Below are 27102 nucleotides of genomic sequence, written 5' to 3'. Positions count from 1 at the left end.
ATGTAATGCCTTCACTGTTGAATTCTACCAGACGTTTTACAAAGAACTAGAACCAATTCTACTCAAACCCCTAAAAAAAAATTGAAGTACAGGGAATACTTCCAAACTTGTTCTATGAAGCCAGCATTATTACCCTGATACCAAAACCAGACAAAGACACAACAAAAAAAGAAAATGGTAGGTCAGTATCACTGATTGAACATAGAGGCAAAAAAAATCTTCAACAAAATACTAGCAAACTGAATTTAACAACACATTAAAATGATTATTCACCATAGTCAAATGGGATCTATCCCAGAGATGCAAGGATGGTTTAACATATACAAATCAATAAATATGATACATCACATTAACAGAACCAAGAATAAAAACTATATGATCATCTCAACACATCCAGAAAAAGCATTCAATAAAACCCAGCAACCCTTTATGATAAAACCCATCATCAAACTGAGTATAAAAGGAACACACCTCAAAATAATATAGGCTATATATAACAATTCCACAGTTTATATGGTACTGAATAGGGAAAAATTGAAGGCCCTTCCTCTAACATATGGAACAAGTCAAAAAACACCTACTTTCAACTCTTTCTTTTTTTGAAGCAGAGTCTCGGTCTGTCACCCAGGCTGGAGTGTAGTGGTATGATCTTAGCTCACTGCAACCTCCACCTCCTGGGTTCAAGTGATTCTCATGCCTCAGCCTCCCAAGTAGCTGGGATTACAGGCATGCATCACTGTATCTGACTAATTTTTATATTTTTAGTAGAGATGGGGTTTCACCATGTTGCCCAGGCTGGTCTTGAACTCCTGGCCTCAAGCAATCTGTCCACCTCGGCCTCCCAGGGTGCTGGGATTACAGGAGTGAGCCTCTGCACCTGGCTACTTACACCATCTTTATTCAACATAATACTGTAAGTCCTGGCCAGAGCAATTAGGCAAGGGAAATAAAGGACATCAAAATTGGAAAGAAATAAGTCAAATTAGCATTTTTCACAGATGACATGATCTCACACTTAGAAAAATCTAAAGACTCCACCAAAAAACTGTTAGAACTGATAAACAAATTCAGTAAAGTTGCAGGATACAAAATCAACATACGAAAATCAGTAGCAGTTACATATGCCAAAAGTAAACAATCTGAAAAAGAAATCAAGAAAGAAATCTGGGAGCCTGCATTTTCTCCAGTACTCATTGGGGGCCACCTGCTGAGGTATTTGGCTGTTATAAATAAAGTTGTGATGAACACATGTACAAATGTTTGTGTGGACATAAGTTGTTATTTCTCTTGAGTAAATACCTAAAAGTGGGATTGCTGGAGTTTTACTACCCTTGGATGCTACTGTTGATATGGAAAAGACTGAGGAACAGTTTACTAATCTGCACATTGTTAAATGTTCCTCAGGAACCAGAGAGTACACTTACCTTCTTGGCATAGATATATCGAAGACTGTGCAAGCAGGAAAAGAAAACTTGGTTGCTGTTTTATATTCTAATGGATCAATCAGAATATATGATAGAGAAAGATTAAATGTACTCTGAGAATTTAGTGGATATTCCGGACTTCTTAATGTCCAGCTCTTCAAAGATTACCCTTCCAATATTTTTATCCATTTTGATATTAACTGTAATGATCATATTATTTGTGCTGGTACAGAAAAGTTGATGATGATGCATGGTTGGTGTTTTGGGATGCAAGGATGAATTCTCAGGATTTATCTTCAACTAAAGACCCGATTGGTGCATATTCAGAGACACATAGCAATGATGTCACTCAAGTACGTTTCCATCCCAGCAATCCCAACATGATAATCTCAGGTTCACTTGATGGCCTGGTAAATGTATTTGATATTAATGTTGATAATGAAGAGGGCGCACTGGTTACAACCTGTAACTCAATTTCATCAGTCAGCTGTATCAGTTGGTCTGGGATAGGTTACAAACAGATTTACTGCATGACACATGAAAGATTTTACTGGTGGGATCTTAATCATCTGGATGCTGATGAACCAATTACATGTTAGAACATCCAGGATGTCGGAGAAATGGTTAATGTGAAAGAAGATATTTTAGACTATTTGATTGGTGGCCTATATCATGAAAAGATGGAAACATTGCTTGTTATCCTTCCTTTGGATAACAAAGGAAGGATTCAGTTGATGAACATTAGGATTGGCCCATGTGACTAGCCTTCAGGGAGGGCATGCTGTACAGTTCGTTCTTTCTGTTGGAATGTGCAGGATGATTCTTTGTTGACTGGAGGAGAAGATGCACAGTTATACTTCGGAAACCTGGAGCTATAGAGAAGGCCTTTATAAAGAAAGAGAGCATGAAAATGGCATCCTCTGCGCACCAACAAGTACGAGTTAATAGTAATGATTCTTATAAAAGAAAGAAAAAGCAGTGTTAATACACTGGCACTTTGGTAGGTTTCATAGTTTCAAGTGATCATTCTTGTTTACCACCAATGGTAGACATGTTTAAAACTGTATGTAAAAACAAGCCAGTTAGCAAACAATCCTTGAAAAATGTCGAGAATGGTTTCATGCAGGTCTTCACATATTCTAAAAAATTTTAAAGCTACTAATTAAGTATAAAATCAGTACATTGAAAGTAAAATTTCTAATTTTAAAAATACATCTGTTAAGTTACTAAATGTTGGGTTTAAAGAAATGGCACTGATAAGGACTTTTTAGAAGTAGATACCTGGTAAAATTTAATAAAACAGGTGGTTGGCTGCATTTTTAAGCCCAATTTTTTATATTTTAAATTATCTTCATTGTGTATGAAACCAAATCAGACAATATTCTTCATTCGAGGAGCATCTATATGCTTAATACATCTAATGTATTATGTTTGAGTATTTAAGTGTAAGTATTTTAATGACTCTAAATAGAATTAAACCTTTTTAGAAATAAAATGATAGGCATCTATCTAAAATGAGAAAAATATATTTAGTAAATATTTGCACCCTTAATATTGTTAGTAAGCAGTAAACAGGTGTTTTGCTGATGAAAAGGAAGTTATCTTGCTAAATTGAGACTCAAAGTGAAATATAAAAATGAATATATTTATAATAGGACTTGACTTGGAGAAATCCCTATTCTCCCTGTTGTCCAAAGCATGACTCTGAGGATAACCTGGACTACTCTCTTCCCTCTTTTCCTAACCAGTTACTCACCACGTCCTACGCCATTTCACCTCCTAACATCTGTCAGCTACCCTTTTGCTTTTACCTCACCACTATTACCTTAGAGAAGACTTTCATTATTTCCCACCTAGATTACAGACTCCATCTCTAATCTGCTTCAGTTTATCCTTGCTACTTCTAGGCTAACCATAAAAAATAGACCTGGTGGAGGTGGGGAAGTGGGGGGGAAGAAACAAAACCATCCGATGATGCCTCATCCTGCTCAAATTCTTCGTACATTGATGTTTTGATGGAGCACTATGTAAACATTAAAAAATTATGCTTTTCAGAATCTTTAAAATATAAGTCAGTGCTATGTAGTAAATGGAAAAACTAGTTTGAAAGATTTCCTTGAGGAATTACATTCATAAAACAATTACATTCACAAAACATAAAACAGTATCAAAACGATAGGGCTTTTTTAAATTAAAAATATCGAAAATTCAAAAGTAATTAATAGTGTTGGAAGATGTGGGTGACAGAAAGTGAGAGAAAAGATGAAAGCCACAGAATATAAATAGATGGACCTAAAACCAGACTAACAGTTTTAGAAAGTGGAAAAAAAAAAAAGAAAAAAGAAATGGGAGCAGTGGGTTATTAGAAATAACATAAGTGGCTGATATGGTTTGTCTGTGTCTCCACCCAAATCTCATCTTTAATTGGAATCCCCATAATCCCCACCTGTCTATGGAGAGACCAGCTGGGAGGTGATTGGATCATGGGGGCACTTCCCCCATGCTGTTCTCATGATAGTGAGTGAGTTCTCACGAGATCTGATGGCTTTATAAAGGGCTCTCCCACTTTGCCCCTCACTCTTTCTACTTCCTGCCACCTGGTAAAGAAGGTGCCTTGCTTCCCCTTTGCTTTCCCCCATCATTGTAAGTTTTGTGAGGCCTTCTCAGCCATGTTGAACTGTGATAATTAAACAATTAAACCTCTTTCCTTTATACATTAAAAAAAGAAAGAAATCTCATTTACAATAGCTACAAAGAATATAAAATACCTAGAAATCAATTTAACCAAAGAAGTAAAAGATCTATACATGGAAAACTATTAAAAAACTGATGAGAGATTGAAGAGGACTCAAAAAATTGAAAAATATTCCATGTTCATGAATTGGAAGAACATTACTAAAATGCCAATACTATCCAAAGCCATTTACAGATTCAGTGTGAACCCTATCAGTGATATTCTTCACAGAAATAGAAAAAAAATTCCAAAATGTATATGGAACCAAAAAAGGCCCTGAATCTCCAAAGCAATCCTGATCAAAAAGAGCAAAGCAGGAGGCATCACACTACCTGACTTCAGAGTAAATAGACAACCTATAGAATAGGACAAAATATTTGCGATCTATGCATCTGACAAGGGTCTAATATCCAGCATCTACAAATAGCTTAAACAAATTTACAAGAAAAAAAAACATTAAAAAGTGGGCAAAGTACATGAACAGACACTTTTCAAAAGAAGACATACATGCAGCCGACAAGTATATGAAAAAAGTTCAATATCATTGATCATTAGAGAAATGCAAATCAAAACCACAATGAGATACCATCTTACACCAGTCAGAATGGCTATTATTAAAAAGCCAAAAAATTACAGATGCTGGTGAGGATGTGGAAAAAGGGAATGCTTATACACTGTTGGTGGGAGTGTAAATCAGGGCAACCATTGTGGAAAGCAGTATGGTGATGTCTCAAAGAGCTGAAAACAGAACTACCATTCAACCCAGCAATCTCACTACTGGGTGTATACCCAAAAGAATACAAATTGTTCTGTCATAAAGTCACGTGCATGGGTATGTTCACTGCAGCACTATTCAAAGTAGCTAAGACATGGAATCAACTTAAATGCCCATCAATGCTAGACTAGATAAAGAAAATGTGGTATATATACACCATGGAATACTATGTAGCCATAACAAGGAATGAGATCATGTTCTTTGCAGGACCATGAATGGAGCTGGAGGACATTATCCTTAGCAAACTAATGCAGGAACAGAAAACCAAATACCGTATGTTCTCACTTATAAGTGGGAGCTAAGTGATGAGAACACTTGGACACAAAGAGGGGAACGACAGACACTGGGGTCTACCTGAAGGTGGATGGTGGGAGAAGAGAGAGGAGTAAAATAAGCAGCTATTGGATAGTAGGCTTAGTACTGGGGTCATTAAATAATCTGTACAACAAACCCCCATGACATGAGTTTATGCATATAACAAACCTGTGCATGTACTGCTGAACCTAAAATAAAAGTTTACAATAGAACATGGACAAAAGATCTGAATAGACATTTCTCAAAAGAAGACATATGAATGGCAAACGGGTATATGAAAAAATGCTCTACGTCACGAATTATCAGAGAAATGCAAATCAAAACTACAGATCTCACCCCAGTTAAAATGGCTTTTATCAAACAGACAGGCAATAACAGATGTTGGTATGTGGAGAAAGGGCAACCTTTGTACACTATTGGTGGGAAAGTAAATTAGTATAGCCACTATTGAGAATGGTATAGAGGTTCCTCCAAAACTACAAATAGAACTACTATATGCTCCAGCAATTCCACTACTGGGTATATGTCCAAAAGAAAGAAAATAAGATATTGAAAAGATATCTGCACTCTCATGTTAATTGCAGCATTAGTCACAATAGCCAAAATATGGAATCAACCTAAAGGCTCATCACTAAATGAATTAATAAAGAAAATGCGTTATATAGTTTATTATATTTTATATAGTATTTATATTGTATTTTTATAATATAAAAAGAATAAAATATTGTCATTTGCAGCAACATGGATAGAACCGGAGGTCATTATATTAAGTGAAAAAGAAAGAAAGAACTTTAATAACACCGTAGACCAACTAAGCCTAACAGACGCATATAAAACACTCCACCCAACAACAGCAGAATACACATTCTTCTCAAATGTACACAGATGTACACAGATCACAGGTTATGCCACAAAAGAAATTCTTAACAAATTTAAGAAGATCGAAGTCATACAAAGCATCTTTCTAAACCACAATGGCATGAAACTAGAAACCAATAGTAGTAGGACAAGGAGAAAATTCCCAAATATGTGGAAATTAAACAACACACTCTGAACAACCAATGGGTCAAAGAAGAAACACAAAGGAAATTACAAAATATCTTGAGAAAAATGACAATAAAAACACAACATAACAAAAGTTATGAGAGTAACAAAAGCAGTACTAAGGAAGAAGTTTATAGCACAGAACATGTACATTAAGAAATAACAAAGATCTCAAATCAACAACCTAACTTTACACTTCAAGAAATTAGAAAAACAAAAGCAAACTAAAAACAAACTTAGCAGGGGGAAGAATATCATAAGCAGAAAGTGAAGAACAGCCAGCATGTGCAGAGATCACACGGAGAGAGAGGAAGCAAGAAGGCAAAGGGGGGTGGCGCCAGGCTCTAGTTAACAACCAGCTCCCACAGGAACTAATAGAGCAAGAACTCATTATTGCAAAAATGACACCAAGCCATTCGTGACGGATCTGCCCCCATCACCCAAACACTTTTCACTAGGCCCCGCCTCTCAACACTGCCACATTGAGGGTTAAATTTCAACATATTTGACGGGAACAAACAAACCATATCCAAACCATAGCAGTGCAGCTGCTATGGAAAACAGTATGGAGATTCCTCAAACAATTAAAAATGGAATTAACATACAATCCTTGAAACTTGAGGATAGTACACTAAGTGAAACAAGCCAGTCACAAAAAGAAAAATGCTAAATGTTAGTTTCATTTCTTTTGTCTTTATTTTTGTGGATTGTTTTTAAATTTTTTATATAATATTGATTTATAATTATTATGGAAAATGTTTACATGGTTCTAAAATCAAATCTAAAACAAAGGAATCTAAATCAACAACAAAGGAAGGTACATTCCGATTAGTCTAACTTCCATCTGTTGTTTCCAATACCCTGTTCCCTCCCTCATCCTAGAAATAACAATTTATATATAGATATATATATAATATGGGATGATTATTACTATTTTAGAAAGAGTATACTCCACAATAATTAAGACCATAGGCTTTATAGTTATGAATTCCTTCATTTAGCAAGTATTTAGTTCACACCTATTATGTGCCAGACTTGTGTTAGACCCTGGAGATATAGTAATGGTCTATGTCATCATAAAACTTCTTTTTTAAAAATTGTGGACAAAAACATATAAATTTTACCGTCTTAACCATTTCTAGGCACACAGTTCAGTAGTGCTCACTGTAAGTACCTTGTGTGCATCAGAGTTTTAGAAATTTTCATCTGGTAAAACTAAAACTCTAGACCCACTGAAGAAAAACTCTCCTTTCTCCCTTTTCCCAGACCCTGGCAACCATTACTTTACTTTGTTTTTAAAAGTTTGACTACTTTCAATACCTCATATAAAAGGAATCCTGTAGCATTTTTCTTTTTGTGACTAGCTTATTTCACTTAGTGAACTGTCCTCAAGGTTCGTCCATGACCGGATTTTCCTCTTTTTGAAGGTGGAATAATATTCTGTTGTACCTATGCACCACGTTTTGTTTATCCATCCATCCAACCATCCATTGGTGGACATTTAGGCGGCTTCTACCTCTTGACTTTTGTGAACAGTGCCGCTATGAATGTGAGTGTGCAGTTAGCTCTTCAAGGTCTGTGTTCCGTTCTTTTGGATATATACCCAGAATTAAGATTGCAGGATTGTATGTTAATTCCATTTTTAATTGTTTGAGGAATCTCCATACTGTTTGCCATAGCAGCTGCACTGCTATGGTTTGGATATAGTTTGTTTGTTCCTATCAAATATCATGTTGAAATTTAACCCTCAATGTGGCAGTGTTGAGAGGTGGGTCCTAGTGAAAAGTGTTTGGGTGATGGGGGCAGATCCTTCATGAATGGCTTGGTGTCATTTTTGCGATAATGAGTTCTTGCTCTGTTAGTTCCTGTGGGAGCTAGTTGTTAACTAGAACCTGCACCACGCCCCCCTTGCCCTCTTGCTTCCTCTCTCACCATGTGATCTCTGCACATGCTGACTGCTCTTCACCTTCTGCTATGAGTAGATGCAGCCTGAGGCCCTCACCAGATGCAGATGCCCAGCTTTGCACTTTCCAGCCATCCAGAATTGTGAATCGAATAAACCTTTTCTCTTTATAAATTACCCAACCTCAACCTCAGGTATTCCTTCATAGCCACAAAAAATGGACTAAAACATTCACCATTTTTATTCCCAGCAGCAATGCAGGTTTCCAATTTCTCCATATCCTCAGCAAAACTTTTTTTTTTTTTAGTTTTTTTTTTTATTTTTATTTTGTATAGTGATCATCCTAATGGGCATGAGATGATATCCCACTGTGGTTTTGATTTGCATTTCCCTGGTGATTAATGATGATGTTGCACATCTTTTCATACGTTTGTGGGCAATTTGTGTATCTTATTTGGAGAAATGTCTATTAAAGTCTTTTATCTAGTTTTTAATCAGCATGTTTGTTTTTTTGTTGTTGTTGAGTTGTAGGAGTTCTTTATAAATTCTGGATATTAACGTGTTATCAGATAAATGACTGGCAAATGTGTTCTTTCATTCTGTGGGTTGCCTTTTCACCATGTTGACTGTTTCCTTTGTCACACAGAAGTTTTTAAGTTTGACATAGTCCCATTTGTCTATTTTCTGTTTTGGTGTGACAGTCAAGAAATCAACGCCAATTCCAATGCCATAAAGCTTTTTCCCCTTTCCTTTCAGGGTTTTACAGTTTGGGATCTTACATTTAGGATTTTGTCCATTTTGAGGTAACTTTTGTATATGGTATAAGGTAAGAGCCCAAATTCATTCTTTTGCATGTGGATATCCTGTTTCCCCAACAACATTTGTTGAGGAGATTATCTTTCCTCACTGTGTAGCCTTGTCAAAGATTATTTGACAATATATGTGAGGGTTTATTTCTGGACTCTATTCTGTCTTTATGCCAGTATCATACTGTTTTGATCACTATAGCTTTGCAATATGTTTTGAAATCAGAATGTGTAAGGCCTCCAGTTTTTTTTTTCCCTACAAGATTGCTTTGGCTATTTGGGGTCCTTTGAGATTTTGAGGATGGACCTGTAAGTAGAATCAGATGTCACTCCTTTGATCATGTCACATTTTATAGCAAAAGAGGGATCATCAAGGGTGGGTCTGACCTATTCAGATGAGCCCTTTGAAGCCTGGAGTTTGATGCACTCTGCTGGTCTGGAAGAAAGCAAGCCCAGTCAGCTCTTCATATCCACGGTTCCACATGCATGGATTAAACCAACTACTTACCAAAAATACAGTATTTGTGGAATGCAGAACCCGCAGATCTGGAGAGTGGATGCTGCCTCTTCCTACCCACGGGTTCTGCAGGGCCGACTGCAGGTCAGGAGAACCTGCTGATTTTGCTATCTGCACAGGTCCCAGGAACCCAGGACCAATCCCCCACAGATACCAACCAGGAAAGGACGCATCTATGTTGTGATCTGCTGAAGAAGCTGGGAAACCTCTAGGAGGAGACAGGGACTCCTGGCTGATGGCCAAGAAGAAATTGAATGCTGCCAAATACTGAATGAGTTTGGAAGAGGATTCCAAGCTGCAGATGAGAATGTAGCTGACTGACACCTCGATTTCAGCCTCCTGAGACCATGAGCAGAGAATCCGCCAGGCAGTGCTGGCTTCTGACCTACAGAACTGTGAGAAAAAGGCAGGCATTATTTTCAGCCACTGAGTTTGTGGTAGTTTTGAAACCTGACCAATTGTCCCATAAAACTGATGTTTATCATTTCTTTTGAATAAACATAGAAATTGACCCTCTCAGTCTTAAAACTTGAGAAAGTTACATTTGTCTTATCTGAGTTCCTTTCTCAGGAAACCGACCATCAGGACTCCCAGGTAGTATCAAGGAGCTGAAACTTACAAGCTCACAGCCTCTGGAGGATGAGTGGCCAGGCCCTCAACCCTCATGATTGCCTGAGCACCACCTGCTGCCTGTTGACCAACTCCTCTTCCTCATTCTTCCCTAATTACTGTTTTCCTGCATGTAGTTACATTTCTTCCCTTCTATATAAACTCCCAATTTTAGATAGTCAGAGAGACGGACTTGAGACTGAATTCCCATCTCTTCAGCTGCAGCACCCGATTAAAGCTTTCTTCCCTGCCAATACTGGTTGTCTTGATGACTGGCTTTCTGTGCTGTGAGCAGCAGGACCTAGACCAAACCCCTGGTGTTTGGGTAATCATTTGTTATGCAACAATAGAAAACTAATATAGGGGATGCAAACACAATATGCATTTGTTTATCTGTATACACTCCTCTGTCCTCTGCTAGATTTTTTTTTTTTTTTTTGGCAGGATCTTGCTGTCACCCAGACTGGATGGAGTTCAGTGGTGTGATCCTGGTTCATTGCAGCCTCCACATCCTGTATTCAATTGATACTCCTATCCCAGCCTCCCAAGTAGCTGGGACTACAGGCATGCACCACTGGGCCAGGCTAATTTTTGTATTTTTTGTAGAGATGGAGTTTTGCCGTGTTGCCCAGGTTGATCTCAAACTCCTGGCCTCAAGCAATCCACCCGCCTTGGCCTCCTGATGTGCTAGGATTACAGGCGTGAGCCACCATGCTCAGCCTCCATTTCTAATAAGAGTAAATCTGCTTTGCATACTGGTGGGCAATTTGGCTTTTCACTCAATAATATAGCTTACATTTTTATATCACAACACAAAGCTACTCATTCTATTTTACATGTGTGCGGTGTTGAGTTGCATGAACCAAGATGCGTGTCATCTGTCCTCCAAAAGCAGCACTGAGGTCACTTCTGTTGTGTTATCTGTGCATGCCATGCTGCAGTGAAGCTCCTGGAAGTCATGCCTGTATGCCCTGTGTGTTTACACAGGAGGGACTCTAAAAAGGGAGCTCTGACTGTGTTTGTCTGTTGGAAGCTGAACTTCCAGGTTCCACTCCGTTCCTGGCATCCAGGTTCTTACAGGCTGCTCTGATGCTACTCACTGCTCTGTGTCTTGTGGCTCAGTGAAGAAGAAAGGGGACTCTTGAGCCAACAAGAAGAGTTAGGGCTGGTTGGGTAGACAGCGGGTGTGGGTCTTGGGTCCTTCCTCCTTCCAGAGGGAGGTGGCTGCTGTAGAGACAGCCTCAGCCCCTTTCCCTGAGCAGGGTGACTAAGTTGGTAAAGGCCTCTACAATGTTTCTAGCATGTCTTGGTGTTGAACTGCTCCACTGAGAACATTACATGGGCTCAAGGCTTCAATTTCCTCCATCCAGAAAAGATGGACGTCTCTAATACCAATTAAGTATGCCTAGGATGAGCGGGGCCTCTCTTAGGACCAGGGGGCATCTGCCCAAGTGCATTGTGAAATTGAAGCATTAATACCCAGTGAGGGCCAAGTCAGGACAGTCACAGTAGAGCCAACAATGGTGACCTCTCCTTCCCAAACCTCTAGGGAGTCCGCTGGGTTTACGCAGGCCTGCAAATCTGCACCGTCCTTGGCGATGGCCCTGGAGGCAGCCTGTGTGTCAGGGAAATGTCAGAAGCATGGCGGCCACCTGCTGTAAGAATAGAAGGCCCTGGGAACCTAGGCGGCCGGTGCATCTGACAGAAGCCTGGAACCCGAGACCTGGCAGAGACTCACCAGGGACCTCCCACCGTTAAACACTGTGCTAGGTTGGCCAGGCACGGTGGCTCACGCCTGTAATCCCAGCACTTTGGGAGGCCGAGGCAGGCAGATCACGAGGTCAGGAGATCGAGACCATCCTGGCTAACACAGTGGAACCCCGTCTCTACTAAAAATACAAAAAATTAGCCAGGCGTGGTGGCGGGTGCCTGTAGTCCCAGCTGCTCGGGAGGCTGAGGCAGGAGAATGGCGTGAATCCGGGAGGCAGAGCTTGCAGTGAGCTGAAATCGCGCCACTGCACTCCAGCCTGGGTGACAGAGTGAGACTCTGCCTCAGAAAAAAAAAAAAAAAAAAAAAAAAAAAAAACAAACCGCTGTGCTAGGTTTTGCCTGTTTGGTTGTTTAGCAGGAAAAAAAAGAAAAACAAACAGAAATACATACATACATACATACATACATACATACATACATACATACATACATAATGTCCAAGGATATCCGTTGGTGAGCAGGACAAAACCCTGCCCCTACAGTTTCATTCTGTGACACACAGGACCTCAGTGGGTGAAAGGTACTTTGGTGTCAAACTAGAGGGGAGAGGGATTGGGAGGATGAGAAGTGGGAGTTTTATTCAGAGAAGTTAAGGAAGACCTCACGAAAAAGCCACGCGAGGAACACACAAGGAAGGAGGTGAGAGTCAGATGCAGGGGTCTTGGGTGAGAACATTCCAGGCCAAGGGAGCAGCAGGTGCCAGGCCCCGAGGCGGGGCAGGCCTGGAGCACTGGGCAACCCACATGCCACATGGAGGAAGTGGCTCTCACCACCATCCTGGCCTCTGGAGTCCTTCACATGAGTCACAGAAGAAAAACTTGTTATATCTGAGTATTATTTTTGTGATCTTACTCTTTGACTTAAAACATTTTTTATTGCAGACATTTTATTTATTTATTTATTTATTTATTTTTTATTTATCGAGATGGAGTCTCGCTCTGTCGTCCAGGCTGGAGTACAGTGGCGCAATCTCGGCTCACTGCAACCTCTGCCCCCTGGGTTCAAGCAATTGTCCTGTCTCAGCCTCCCTAGTAGCTGGGATTACAGGTGTGCACTATCACGCCTGGCTAATTTTTGTATTTTTATTAGAGTCGGGGTTTCGCCATGTTGGCCAGGCTGGTCTCGAACTCCTGACCTCAAGTCATCTGCCCACCTTGGCCTCCCAAAGTGCTGGGATTACAGGCATGAGTCACCGCGCCCAGCCAACATTTTACACAAAAGTGGCTGGATGTGGTGGCTCATCCCTCTAATCCCAGCATGTATTGTTCAAGCTCAGTAGTTCACCACCAGCCTGGGCAATGTGGCAAATCCCTGTCTCTACAAAAAAAAAAAAAAAAAAAAAAAAGAAAGAAAAAAAATAGCCGGGGGTGGTGGCATGCACCTGTGGTCCCAGCGACTTAAGAGGGTGAGGTTGGAGGATCACTTGAGCTTGGGAGGCAGAGGTTGCAGTGAGCCAAGATTGAGCCACTGGACTCCAGCCTGGGTGACAGAGCAAGACGACCCTGTCTCAAATAAAATAAAATAAATAGTAAAGTAAACATACACAAAAGTAGAGGAGAGATAATATAAAGCCCTACACATCCACCCCCTGCCATCAGTAATTACCAGCATTGGGGCTGCACCATCTTCCACCACACGTGGCTTCAGAACAATGCCCAAATCCAAGCATGACAAGGAAGTCCCTAACCAAAACTGCCAAGAAAGGCCTGGAATTGAAACAACACCTGATAGAAGAGCTTCGGAAACGTGTGGACACTGATAAGTACCTTTCCATCTCTCTGTGGCCAACACGTGGAACAGCAAGCTGAAGGACATCCGGAATGCCTGGAAGCACAGCCGGATGTTCTTTGGCAAAAACAAGGTGATGATGGTGGCCTTGGGTCGGAGCCCATTGGGTGAGTGCAAAGACAACCTGCACCAGGTCAGCAAAAGGTTGAGGGGTGAAGCGGATCTCCTGTTCACCAACCACTGGAAGGAGGAGGTGAATGAGTGGTTCACAGAATACACGGAAATGGACTTCAGCTGAGCTGTAACAAAGCAGCTTTCACCGTGAGCCTGGACCCAGGGCCCCTGGAGCAGTTCCCCACCCCATGAAGCCACAGCTGAGGCAGCCGGGCCTGCCCACCACCTTTGAGAGAGGTGTGGTGACCCTGCTGTCCGACAATGAGGTGTGCAAGGAGGGCCACCTGCTGGCCCCGGAGCAGGCTGGTGTTCTGATGCTTTCTGGGTATGAGATGGCTGAATTTAAGGTGACCATCAAATACATGTGGGATGTACAGTCAGGAAGGGTCCAGCAGATGGGAGACGACCTGCCAGAGAGCTCATCCAACTCAGCAGAAGAATCAAGACTCAGACGATGATGACTGAAAGGGACTCAGGACTGAAGGTCTCCTGGAACCTTCTGGATCTCACTGGACCACACAGGACTACTGCCACTCCTCTAGAGAGAGCAGCTTATTTGGCTTTTGACAGGGAGTGATGGGCACTGACTGTTCCTGTAAAGAATAAAGCTTTGCAGGATGTCAAATAAAATTTTTTTAAAAAATTACCAGCGTTGTTCAGTTTTGCTTCATGTATTGTTCCCCTCCCAGCTTTTGTCTATTGCTTTGCTAGAGTATTTAAAGGAAATCCCAGAAGACAACACATCATTTTATCCGTATTTGATTCTTTGTATTCCACCAACATAAGGACATTTTATTTATTCATTCATTTATTTATTTATTTTGTTGAGACGGGGTCTCACTGTGACCCAGGCTGGAGTGCAATGGCCATCATGGCTCACTGCAGCCTCCTGAGTAGCTGGGACTACGGGCAGCACCACCATGCCTGGCTAGGTTTTAAAATTTTCTGTAGAGCTGAGGTCATGCTATGTTGCCCAGGCTGGTCTCAAACGCCCGGGCTCACATGATTCTCCCGCCTCAGCCTCCCAAAGTGCTGGGATTACAGGCATGAGCCACCACACTCAGCCAATAAATTTTTAAAAAATTATCATTATCACGCCCAACAAAATTAACAGTACTCCCTTAATAACTAACCCCTTGTCAGTTTTTCAATTTCTCTTGTCTCAAAATGTCTTTTGCCAGGTGGCTTGTTCGAGTCAGGATTCAGACTTTGCGGTTGCTTCTGCTGTGTCTCCAAGTCCCTTTTGACCTGGACTCCCTCTTTGGTGACTTCCTGTCTGGTGCTGCAGTTCCTGCGTGCTGAGCACCTCTCCTTGCCCACTCAATCAGCGCCTGAGACAACACTCTGAAAACTGCATACACATACAGAGTCTAGGGGTTGGGGGGTGACCACGTCTTCTTTCTGCCTTGAAGATTAGACACCTGTGTGCTGGAGCAACCAGGATGACCACAAAGCAAGACACACAGGCACCCACACCAGGGCAGGTGACGGCGGCTCAATGCATGGATTCACAGCCGGGCTGCACCCCAGTGCTTGGGCCCGCGGCTCTCCAGGGGCGCCACTTTCTGCCCCTGCCCCGCCAACTCCCACCAAACAACCAAAGGAGCACAACCAAAACAGAACACGGCACTTCCAAACAGCAGATCCTAATCCAGGGCAGCCTAGCCTTGCCTCCCGAGGTACAAGAGCAGGGATTCATGAGACCCCGATGATGTGGCGGCCAGCGATGGCCATCCTTTCTAGGACTCACGGGTCTGAGGCAGGAGAATAGGGTATGGAGGCAGATCACCTAAGGCCGTTTCACGCGGACTTCCTAGAACTATATTGAAAGGAAAACTCTTAACTTTCCACGCCTAAGTAACAAAAGGACCAGAGGTTACTCTTTGCAAACCCCCCACCTTTTCTGTGGGGCCGAAGGGAAACTGGCTGTCCACAACCAATCAGACTGATTGCCACCAGTCTTCCTTTGCATAGAAGTCCAACTTTGTAACTTTCACTTTAGCCTCTTAACGTTAGCTTTTTGCAACCAATCAGATGTTTGCGCAGGAGTGTGACCTTTGTAACTTCACTTCAGCCTCTGGTTGGCTGCTTTCCGCAACCAATCAGACCGATTATGGGCCACCACTTTATTTACATGAAGGGAGCACATGAGTGGCCAATGGGAAACCTCTAGCGGGTATTTGGACCGAGAAGATTGTATAACGCAGCCCTTGAGCCTGCTCAGGCCGCTCCCACACTGTGGAGACTACTTTCGTTTTCAATAAATCCCTGCTTTAGTTGCTTCCTTTTTTCCTTGCTTTGCAGCACGTTTTGTCCAATTCTTTGTTCAAAACGCCAACCTGGACAACTTGCAGTTAGGACCCTCTACCGGTAACACGACCCCTTCCCTTGTATGAGTTCATTTGATGTTCACCACCTACAAGGCCCCAGGGCTAATATGAGCTCTACTTTTCAGATGAGGAAACTGAGGCACAGAGCGGTAAAGTACCATGAGTCTGGTGGACAGACCCTTAAACTCAGGCCGCCCTGCGGCGGTGCCCTTTCTTTACGCCAGAGCGGGGGTGCCGGGACATATATGAGCACCCTGGGGAAGCCCCCAGGAGAAACAGGAAGGACTGGCTTTAGGAGGAGAGGGACGGCAGAGGGTAGGGGGTAGAGGCAAAAAGCCAGGGGCGCAGCGGCGGAGCTCTGGCGCTGGAGCCAAGGTATAGGGGCAGCGGGGCTGCGGCGGGGACCAGCCTCCCCAGCCGGGCCTCCTCCCCACCTGCGCTTCTGTGCATCGGAAGTGGGCTCGCTCCGTTGCCCCCTTCCGCCTCCAACCCCTGAAAAGCAAGACGAGGCTGAGCTCGGAGCACCGAACTGCCCCCAGAGCGCCCGGCCGCCCCCACAGCTCGCGCCGAGCGCGGACTCCCCAAGCCAGACGTTTCCTCCTGAGGTCCCCCCGCAGAGGGGTCGCCATTCCTGCTTTTGCCTGCGCCGCGAAAGCGGGCTGTTTTCGCCTCCGTCCGCCCCGCGTGGACTCGCCAGCAGCGCCGCCTCCCACCGCGACCGCAGCCTCGGCCCAGCCGCCACAGCAGTTGTCTCGATCCGGATTTCTCCTAGGCCGGCGCCTCTTGGTGCTGCCTGGGAACCCCGCAGACGCGCGCCTCAGGACCCCTGAAACACGCGCCGGCGGGGACCCCCAGTTCTGCACCCGCAGTCACGAGGCCCCGCCAGGGTGGCGACGGTTCGCTTCTGCCCGGGCCTCCCCTGTGGCTCCGAGCGCGGAGGGGAAGGTGCGGGCACCCCACTCCCTGGGGGGACTGGACTCCGTACACACGCGCCGGGCCTCGCGCCCCGAAAGGAGGCTCTGGGGCCGCCCCGCTCCTCTGGGCATTTTCTGGCACCGAAAGTGCGGAGCGAGCCCCCCAGCCGAGCACGGCTGACTAGGTTTCCCTGGCACAGGCTGCAGGCTGCTTGCCCGGCGCTGACTCCTTTCCCAGCGACTCCCGAGGGGCGGCTGTCCTCTTGCTCGGAGCCGGCGTCCCCAGCAGCGCGCCCAGGCCCTCCGTGTGGCCCGCTCATTCCCGCGGCCCGCCGGGCCGACTCCGCCGACGGCCCATGCAGACGGCCTCAGGCCCGGCGATCTGGTATTCACAGCGCAAAATGGCATTTGAATATTCATTGTGCGCATGCAGCATTTTCCAGAGAACACACAAAGATCTCTCACCACAATTATCTTGCTCCAGCTTTAAAATATTAGCTGTCACTTCTTTCACGAATCTTGTGAGAAAGTAAAGTCTTTTTTTCTTAAATTCTTTTTCCCTTGAACGCAATTACCACCTCATTCATGGCTCTTTGTGGCCACCTAATCTTGGGATTATGCCAGTGACATGACCACAAAGCAGCATGACTGACGTACCTGACAGCTCTGGCTGGTGACACGGCGGCCACAGTGAGAGGCAGCCTTTGTGGAATGAGTTCCACTGCCGCCCGCCTCGCAGGGAAGCCGGGCAGGAAGGTGTAGCCGAGAGCCGCCAGGGGACCATCCCCACCCGCGGGGACGCTTGCTTTTAACTCGAGGGCCCTGCGCACTGAGGAGCAAGGATGCCGGGGCACACCCACCTGATTCCCCCATTGTTGCCCAACATAAAACGTCTGCACCCCCATTTGGTTTGTGACTATACAGTAAAGCAACCAGGTCTGGGGACTTGGGTCCCACGGTGGAGGCCCTAGTCAGCCTTCCCCAGGCCCTCCCCACGACCGCCCTAGCCCGGTACCAATGCAAGCCCTGTGCAGCCACGCCAAGTGCAGGCACAACACAACACGTGCTGGCAGCAGATCCACTCAATTGTGCATGCACCCGGCCCCATGAAGACCCCACACTTTTGATTCCAGCTTAGCACATGGGAACTTACCTGGGATCAGCCATTCACAGGGCTTCACTAGCTTCTGGTGTGTTGGGTTGGTTATATTCTCTGACTTTCGTTCTCTCCTCCACCTTCTCTTTTCAGACCACAGAAATAATACATATTATTCAAAAATCAAACGTGATAGACATAACGTGAACAATAAACATCCTGCCATCCGCCTTCCCAAAGGCACCCTGCTTTCTCTGCCTGCAGATGTTCCCTGAAGTGTTCTTGGTGCACCTGCATCCAACATGAGTAATTTTCCTTACAGAAAAGGATCACACTATACATACTGTTTACACCTTTTTAATTTTATTCTCTTGGTCATCTTTGCATGATTAACATATTTTAGTAACTGATCTTTAATCAGTTTTAGGGGTAGCCTCAGGCTTAGGCTCTGGAAGGGAACTGGCACATCACCCTCCTTAGCACCCAAGAAAACAATGGCCTTCTTCATGGTCTAAATAACTGGAAACATTTAAAACCAATTAGGTGGCTTAAGATTGCTATTAAACTAACAGAAAGAGGGAAAAACATTTGTCGTGCAATACAGTAACCAGCAGCCACACCACCGAAAGTATCCAAGCAAGAGCGGGTGCTGGACAGCAGCCCTGAGCTAAAACCTGAGAGATGACAGGGTGCTGGCAGCCCTCGCTCACTCTTGGCGCCTCCTCGGCCTCAGCGTCCACTCTGGCTGCGCTTGAGGAGCCCTTCAGCCCGCCGCTGCACTGTTGGAGCCCCTCTCTGGGCTGGCCGAGGCCGGAGCCGGCTCCCTGTGCTTGTGTGGAGGTGTGGAGGGAGACGCGTGGGCGATACTGGGGCTGTGCGCTGCGCTCGTGGGCCAGCACGCGTTCCGGGTGGGCGTGGGCTTGGCGGCCCTGCACTCGGAGCGGCCGGCCTCGGGCAGTGAGGGGCTTAGCACCCAGGCCAGCAGCTGCAGAGGGTGCACCGGGTCCCCCAGCAGTGCTGGCCCGCCGGTGCTGCACTCGAATTCTCACGGGGCCTTAGCTGCCTCCTCGCAGGGCAGGACTCGGGACCTGCAGCCCCCCATGCTCGAGCCTCCCCCCTGCCGTGGGCTCCTGCGCAGCCGAGCCTCCCGGACGAGCGCCGCTCCCTGCTCCGTGGCGCCCTATCCCATCAACCGCCCAAGGGCTGAGGAGTGCGGGGCGCAGGGCGCGGGACTGGCGGGCAGTTCCACCTGCGCCCCACTGTGGGATCCACTAGGTGAAGCCAGCTGGGCTCCTGAGTCTAGTGGGGACTTGGAGAACCTTTATGTCTAGCTAAGGGATTGTAAATACACCAGTCAGCACTCTGTGTCTAGCTTAAAGTTTGTAAACACACCAATCAGCACCCTGTGTCTAGCTCAAGGTTTGTAAATGCACCAATCAGTGCTCTGTGGGGACTTGGAGAACTTTTGTGTCTAGCTCAGGGATTGTAAACACACCAATCAGCACCCTGTCAAAACGGACCAATCAGCTTTCTGTAAAACAGACCAATCAGCTCTCTGTAAAATGGACCAATCAGCAGGATGTGGGTGGGGCCAGATAAGGGAATAAAAGCAGGCTGCCCGAGTCAGTAGTGGCAGCCCACTGAGGTCCCCTTCCAGGGTGTGGAAGCTTTGTTCTTTTGCTGTTTGTAATAAATCTTGGCTGCTGCTCACTGTTTGGGTCTGCACTGCTTTTATGAGCTGTAACACTCACCGTGAAGGTCTGCAGCTTCACTCCTGAGCCAGCGAGACCACAAACCCACCAGAAGAAAAAAACTCCGAACACATCCGAACAAACCCCGGACACACTGCCTTTAAGAACTGTAACACTCACCACGGGAGTCCACGGCTTCATTCTTGAAGTCAGTGAGACCAAGAGCCCACCAATTCCGGACACAAAACGACCACAGAAATCTGTCCAGGTCTTTTTCTCACAGAGGACCTCCAAGGTGACCAGCCCAGAAGATAACTACATTGTTTTGCTTGCTCAGCTTCCGTTTTCTCACGGTGTACACCAAATTAGAACACACTTCGTGTGCAAAGCTGACATTCCTGTGTGAAGCTACCTGGCTATTCTGACAACTCATATGCTGTGCTGGTGAGAGAAAATTTCAGTTTTGTTTCTAATTGGAAATGAGTAACTGAAATTGTTCTCCCATATTTTTTTCTGGGACTCTGTTTTATTTCTACATGTGATTCACCTGGAAGATATTTTGGGCTAACCCATCTCTTTCTCACTGAAGTGTTGCCACTTACCATCTAAATTTCTGTGTGTATTTGGGTCTTTCTGGATTCCATTCTGTTTCACTGATCTTTTCATAAGCCAGTCTCACCCAGGCTGCTTTAATTACTGTTAGGACTGCATGTGGCTCCACGAGTTTCCACTGAGAGAAGACCTGGGATTCCAGCAGGCAGAGGCTGACATACAAGCTTAGTTGTTGCCATGTTTCTTCGTAATAGCTTCCCTCCTGAATTAAACCCAACCACAAAACGTGGCAGAAATGGACCACCAGCAGAAGATGACACATGTGAATCCTGAGGACTGGTCTCTTCCAGAGAGAAAGCCTAGGACGAGGTGGAGGCTCCCACCATTTCTTCGAGGGAGCACACATTTCCTCACCTTGATGTCAGCACCAGGAGGCTGACAGTGACATCCTGTGTGGTGGGCCCGGGAGAACCAGATGCCATCACTCTCCCTCTGCAGCACATCCTGGCTGTCCTGTTGGCACCACCATGCCAACCTAAGAACCAGTTTTCTACTTGAATCAACACCTTGTAGCTATCATTATTGGAATGGCATTAAATGTAGAAATTGGTTTAGGGAGAATTGACAGCTTTAGTTATTGTTATCTTCTACTTTAACACAAAATATGCGTTCCTCATAAGCTTCACAGTCCCAAGGTAAAATCGGGCTAATGGGTAAAGGAGAGTTTGGGGCTCACTACTCAAAATCTATGCAACTTTGTAACTAACACCAAGAAGAATTGGGCCAAAGCGGTAGCTCATGCTTGTAATCCCAGCACTTTGGGAGGCCAAGTTGGAAGGATTCATTGAGCCCAGGAGTTTGAGACCAGCCTGGGCAACATAGCAAGACCCCTTCTCTACAAAAAATACAAAAATCAGCCAGGTGTGGTAGTGCACCCCTGTAGTCCCAGCTACTAGAGAGGCTGAGGAGGATGGATCACTTCAGCCCAGGAGTTCAAGGTCACAGTGAGCTATGATCGTGCTACTGCACTCCGGCCTGGGTCACAGAGTGAGATCCTGTCTCTCAAAAAAAAAAAAAATAAGGAAAAATTGCCATACCAACCCTCATAAAATTCTGGCACAGTTAAAAAGACATGTAAAATCTTAATATAGATATATGCTAAATGCAGGGTGTTTTTGTTTTTGTTTTGTTTTGTTTTTTAAGATGGAGTCTCACTCTGTCTCCCAGGCTGGAGTGCAGTGGCACGATGTTGGCTCACTGCAAGCTCCACCTCCCAGGTTCACGCCATTCTCCCACCTGAGCCTCCCAAGTAGCTGGGGACTATAGGCGCCCAGCACCACACCCGGCTAATTTTGTTTTTGTATTTTTAGTAGAGACGGCATTTCACCGTGCTAGCCAGGATGGTCTCAATCTCCTGACCTCGTGATCCAACCCCCTCGGCCTTCCAAAGTTCTGGGATTACAGGTGTGAGTCCGGCCAGCTAAATGTAGGATTTAAACAAAGGACAGGCCACGCTCAGACCCAGTGACGGCAGGGATGGGCAGCTGGGCCACTATCCGTGTCTGGGAGAGTTCCTAACAAGCTACTGAAACAGCGTGGGAGGCTGGGCACCTGCAGAGCTCCCCCTCCACTGGGGGAAATGCTGCCTGGACTGGTGCGGCCCCAGCCCCATCCCCACTCATGGGTGCTGTTCATGCTACGGAAGAAGGCCCCCAGTGCAGTCCGGTAAGTTACTCCTACTCAAGTCTCCGATGTGCTCCAGAGGAACCTGACAGTTTCCTTTGTATACACTTCACACATTTCTAAACTTATTTCTGCTGTTTTGTCTTCCGCTGTTTTCTGGTCGTTCATTATTTCCTTATGTATAGGAAGACTATTGATTTGTATGTATCAATTAGGCACCGTCGCATTCCTAGGTACACATCTCTTACTGCTTATCATTTCCAGGAGGAATTCTCTTGGAATTCCCTATCAACAATGAAGTCAGCTGTGAATGACATGTTGGCTTCCCTCTTTCAGATCTTTCGCAGCTCATCTCTTCCCGTCCTCCAGGGCCAGGTGGCCATCAGAGGCCCCTCCTGCCATGTGGTATGCAGCTGTGGTGAACAGTCCTGGCCTGCTCCCGACTTCAGTTTTAAGCGTCTCTTCACTCACATGGTGTGTGTTTGGCTTGAAATATAAATGCACTGCTATGTTAAACTAGTGTCCACATCCTCTTGACATTTCCATTGCCTAAAGACACAGAGGCCTCCCTGGACATTGCATCCATTTTCTCACAAGGTCTGAGCCCCACCACACGCTGGTTCTGCTCTGGGCACCAAGGCTTTGGGGGTGACCACAGCCCTGGTCCCTACTTCACGGTACTTCTGGTTTAATCAGCAGAACAGACGCTCAACAGAGAATCGTCCAGCAGTTCCTCACTAGTGGGTGGGCCATCTTCCCTGAGGACCTGGCAGGCAGGAAGGAGACATCCTCCTGCTGGGGAAGGTGTCCTGGTAGAAGACAGGAGGTGATGGGGCCCAAGTTGGGAAGAAGCTGCCCCACTCCAGGGGTATGAGGGCGGATGTGACATGAGGAGCAAGTGAGGGGAAACGAGGCTGCAGAGACACAGGACGAGGGCGAGCAGGCTCCACCAGCAGAGCACATGGAGCTCTCTAGACACTTCCATAAAGACAGGGCCAGGGTGGCTGCTGAAGACCAACTTCCAAGACTGAAAAAGTACACGTCGCACAGACAGAGGTGGCCTCTGCAAAACTGTGATATGGCAAGGCCTGGCCTCTGCACCCTCCCCAGATCTCCCAGCAGCCTTTCTGTCCACGTGGGACACATCCTGAGGACGCCCCTGGGAGTCTGCTCAGATGATGTGCGTTCCTTCCCTGCCCTGCCTCAGCGTCTCGTGCACGGCAAGGCATAAATGACCGCCTCTCCTCACACTGATTCGACAGAAGGGCGATTTCATGGGGCAACCAAAACGTAAGCAGAATCTGGCTGCACCCAGTGGGGATGGGGCTGGGGGAGTCCTTCCCCCTCTTAAGTCATACTGGGAAGAGGGCTGCCTGGCCTGGCTCTCCATGCCAACATGCTCACAGAACCTACCCGCCAGTGACATGTGCTCCTGTGCATCTTCTGGGTGGGTACAGGACACAGCAGGATGAGAACTGTCATGAACACACCAGGGAGGATTCTGGCTCCAACCGCGGCTTCACTTGCTCAACTCTACCTTCACTCAGTGCCACTCTCCAAAGCCCAAGGCCTTGGCTGTCAGCCTCCAGAGTCGGGTTCTCTTTTGAGGGGTGTTAGCATCCTCACTGCACCCCTCTCCCACCTTGACAAGCGAATCTCTTAAAGACCAGATGGGTCACGTTTACTTTCATTTCCATAATCTCCCTTACTGTTCCCCAAGTTCCGAATCCTTCTACTCCTTTACATTGGCATGTATTTAACTTACAGGATCTTTTACCAGTGCGCCTACGTTTACACCGAGGCATAAAATTAAAAATGTGGCCAGGCGCGATGGCTCACGCCTGTAATCCTAGTAATCCTAGCACGTTGGGCAGCTGAGGTGGGCGGATCATGAGGTCAGAATCCAGCCTGGCCAACATGGTGGAACCCTGTCTGTACTAAAAATACAAAAATTAGCTGGGCGTGGTGGTGGGTGCCTGTAATCCCAGCTACTCGGGAGGCTGAGGCAGGAGAATCACTTGAAACCAGAAGGCAGAGATTGCAGTGAGCTGAGATCGCACCATTGCACTCCAGCCTGGGCAACAAAAGCAAAACTCTGTCTCAAAAAAAAAAAAAAATAGTGAAAGTGAAACAAAAGATGGGAGTGTGTGTTTTATTAAAGGTTAAAAGAGTTTTTAATCACAAAACATCAACAGTTGTTGGCTTGTCTCAATCTTTTATAAGCAACTATTTACCACCAAGGTGGCTGATTTCAAAGAGCTGGTTGTATCTGCAGTGATGTTTCTCTTTAATTAAACACCCACTGTGTTAGTTATCTGATGCTATGGAACGAATTTACACAGGCGCCAAGGCTTCAAACAACAAGCATGGATTTTCCAGCATCTGGGATTGGGAATCTGGGCACAGCTTAGCTGGGTCCTCTGTTGTGGGCTCTCAGGCTGCAGGTGTGGTGTCACCCGAAACGGGGTCTCATCTGAGGCCCGACTGAGGCAGGACCTACTTCCAAGTGCCTTCACTTGGTGCCAGCAGGATCCACTTCCTTCTGGCCTGCTGGGCTGGGAGCCTCAGTTCGCAGCTAGCTGCCAGTCAATTCCAGCCTCACTTGATTCCTTGCCATGTGGCCCTCCCTGGGATGGCAGCTTGCTTTATTGAGGGTCTGGTAGCCAGGTAAGAGTTGGAATCTTTTGTGATGGGATCAGGCAGGTGAAATTTCCCTCAATGTGGAGGCCTTCTGTTGGCTGGAAACAAGGGGCTGGAGGGAAGGACTGCACAAGGCCACGTGGGGACCATGGTGGGCCCCCTTAGAAGCTGCCTAGGCATCTGCCTATTTCTTACTCTAATAATCCTATTTACAAAGGAACTATTTTTAGAATGGCATTGCTCTGAACATTTTTATAGTTATCTGTTCATTCTCCTATCCATGCTCAGGTAATACAGGAAATAGTGTAAAAACACAAAACAAGTCAACAAACTAATCCTTATTTAAAGAAAAATAAATTCGTATCAAACAATTTCCCCAAAAGTGGTCCTGTGGGATTTTTGGACCTAGAAGGAGGTGTGGAGCAAGGAGTCCTAAGTGTGTATGGCAGTGACACCAGACAGGTGAACCGACAAGAAGCTGGGCCTGTGTTTGTGGGGTTCGCAAAGTGGCATTTTGAAATTCAATAAAAGCCAACTAGCAAACCCAAAAACTTGCATAAAAGTTAAAGAGTGAGTAAAATTTATCAGATGCCAAGTGAATCTGCTCTGAGAGTTTAGGAAGCATCAATATGAAACCCATACATCCTAACCGAGTTGGGTAGCAAAAACGTGCAGTGGCCTGGAAATGCACCTTTAAGAGAACTGACAAGTGGGTTTTCATTAATGAAAAAGACATATTAAAAAATGATCTAATTCAGGAAAAGGCTGGGAAAATAGTTTTTCTCTTTAGAGCAAGGCTTTCGTCAACCTTCTATAAAATAATCTATCATGTTAAGTATCAAAATTTAAAAAATTAATACTGAATTGAAAAGGGGGAATGTTAGTTAAGAAAGAGAACAAGTTCACAGTTGTGAACTTGTGTAATTCTGCCCAGTGTAATTCTGCCCAGAAATCTGTCCCCCATAAAATCTATGTATTGCATATATAAAATCATCCCAACCTTTACTGAAAACTAAAAACAGATGCCCTCTTACACGGTCTTGTTTCTGGACTCATTAAATCAGTAATGATGCACACTCATCATCACTGAGCTCTACAGAACTTTAAGTTTTGCCTGCAGAATGTCTTACCTGCTTGACAAGAGAAGCATCCTCACTCTTGTGGACTCCAGTAATCTCAGCTGGCAGGACACATTGATTTACAATCTTAGGGCTGCTTTACAACCAAACACAAACTTTTAAAAGCAGCCATATACTAATATTACATTTTCTGTACGCTAAGAACAGTTTCTGCCATCTGTAACTGGGTACCTAAGTCAGAAAAAAACAAGGTTTGAATCCCAGCTCAAACTTTTTAACTGTGTGACTTTTGGTTAATTACTTAACCCCTCTGAGCCTTACTTTCTTTACGTAATACAAGTATCAACTCCATGGGCCATACCAGCCCCAGCCCCAGCCCCCTATAAATCCGTCTGTCTGTCCACAGATGCCACTGTGGACGGACCACCATAGGAGGAAGGGCTCTGTCCCTCCTCTCCACTCTCAGGTCCCTCCGTCATAAAAAGCCCAATCTCTATAAAGCTGTTGAGAATTAAGTACCACAGCAGACACAGAGCACTTAGGACACCGCTTGGCACATGGGAGGTACCAGTAAACATTTAGCTGTTACTACTAGGAAGTATGTCCTGGAGACGCATAAGAAACCGGTAAGAAATCTTGGGGCAAGAGTGGAGGCTCTCCTAAGACAGTGTTTACTGGGAGTGGGGAGAAACAGCTGGGCATCTGCAGCAGGGCGGTGAGCAGACAGCCTTCCAAAACAGGAGAGTGTGGCAAACGCACCGGAGCCACTGGGCGGTCAGTCACACTCCTGCAGGCCACGCGAGGCTGTCCGGGTGCTGGGGATGCGGGTGAGCAGGGCCAGCCAGGTGTCCTGTCATGCAGAGCTCACATTCCACGGGAGGGAGAGCAAACAAGCAGGAACACATGCGGCAGACATGAGGGCCATATCACAATGGACAGTGTGATGTGCGGAGGAGGAGTTTGCCTTGGATGGGGCAGGAGAGCCTCTCTAAGAAGCAGAGCTGGCCACACCAAAGCCTGGGGAAGAACCTGAGACATGAGCACCGAGCTGGCTGGAAGAGCAGGGAGGCCACTCAGCTGGAGCTCAGGGAGGACGGCAGTGGCCGGGGTTGAGGACCTCTAGACCACAGGGAGGAATCTGGGCTTTATGCCACGTGCAAGCGACTGTCCTCACATATGAGCAGTTACCTCTTTCAAAAGGTAACTCTGTCTTCTGTGGAGAGAAAGCTCTGGAGCTAAGAGCAAGCAGGTGGTCTGGTGAGGAGACGACTGCAGTGGCCTTAGAGATGACTGAGCTCAGGCTGCTGTGGCCACCGCT

At 45.7% G+C, this 27102-nt stretch overlaps 2 pseudogenes, besides 7 other annotated features; both read left to right on the top strand.

The window, feature by feature from the left end:
- LOC100130487 (WD repeat domain 89 pseudogene) lies at positions 1170-2603 on the top strand (annotated as a pseudogene).
- Positions 13518-14412, top strand: LOC646203 (MRT4 homolog, ribosome maturation factor pseudogene; annotated as a pseudogene).
- Positions 15734-16028: an enhancer, noted in NCBI's record as "tiled region #6122; HepG2 Activating DNase unmatched - State 1:Tss, and K562 Activating non-DNase unmatched - State 10:DNaseD". NCBI's record gives its function as "activates a minimal TATA promoter and a strong SV40 promoter by Sharpr-MPRA in HepG2 and K562 cells {active_cell/tissue: HepG2 | K562}" and the evidence as "EXISTENCE:reporter gene assay evidence [ECO:0000049][PMID:27701403]".
- Positions 16037-16086: an enhancer, noted in NCBI's record as "active region_13113". NCBI's record gives its function as "activates an Ori minimal core promoter by ATAC-STARR-seq in GM12878 lymphoblastoid cells {active_cell/tissue: GM12878}" and the evidence as "EXISTENCE:reporter gene assay evidence [ECO:0000049][PMID:35858748]".
- Positions 17117-17236: a silencer, noted in NCBI's record as "silent region_9330". NCBI's record gives its function as "represses an Ori minimal core promoter by ATAC-STARR-seq in GM12878 lymphoblastoid cells {active_cell/tissue: GM12878}" and the evidence as "EXISTENCE:reporter gene assay evidence [ECO:0000049][PMID:35858748]".
- Positions 17117-17779: a biological region, named in NCBI's record as "H3K4me1 hESC enhancer GRCh37_chr18:13136258-13136836".
- Positions 17201-17779: an enhancer, noted in NCBI's record as "H3K4me1 hESC enhancer chr18:13136258-13136836 (GRCh37/hg19 assembly coordinates)". NCBI's record gives its function as "activates a minimal SCP1, AML or CMV promoter by ChIP-STARR-seq in primed H9 embryonic stem cells {active_cell/tissue: H9 hESC(primed)}" and the evidence as "EXISTENCE:reporter gene assay evidence [ECO:0000049][PMID:30033119]".
- Positions 17307-17356: a silencer, noted in NCBI's record as "silent region_9329". NCBI's record gives its function as "represses an Ori minimal core promoter by ATAC-STARR-seq in GM12878 lymphoblastoid cells {active_cell/tissue: GM12878}" and the evidence as "EXISTENCE:reporter gene assay evidence [ECO:0000049][PMID:35858748]".
- Positions 17780-18359: an enhancer, noted in NCBI's record as "H3K4me1 hESC enhancer chr18:13135678-13136257 (GRCh37/hg19 assembly coordinates)". NCBI's record gives its function as "activates a minimal SCP1, AML or CMV promoter by ChIP-STARR-seq in primed H9 embryonic stem cells {active_cell/tissue: H9 hESC(primed)}" and the evidence as "EXISTENCE:reporter gene assay evidence [ECO:0000049][PMID:30033119]".

The sequence above is a fragment of the Homo sapiens genome, chromosome 18 (assembly GCF_000001405.40).
Source record: "Homo sapiens chromosome 18, GRCh38.p14 Primary Assembly".
Classification (NCBI taxonomy): domain Eukaryota; kingdom Metazoa; phylum Chordata; class Mammalia; order Primates; family Hominidae; genus Homo; species Homo sapiens.
The sequence above is the reverse complement of the archived record's forward strand: the minus strand, read 5'-3'. Positions and strand labels throughout refer to the sequence as shown.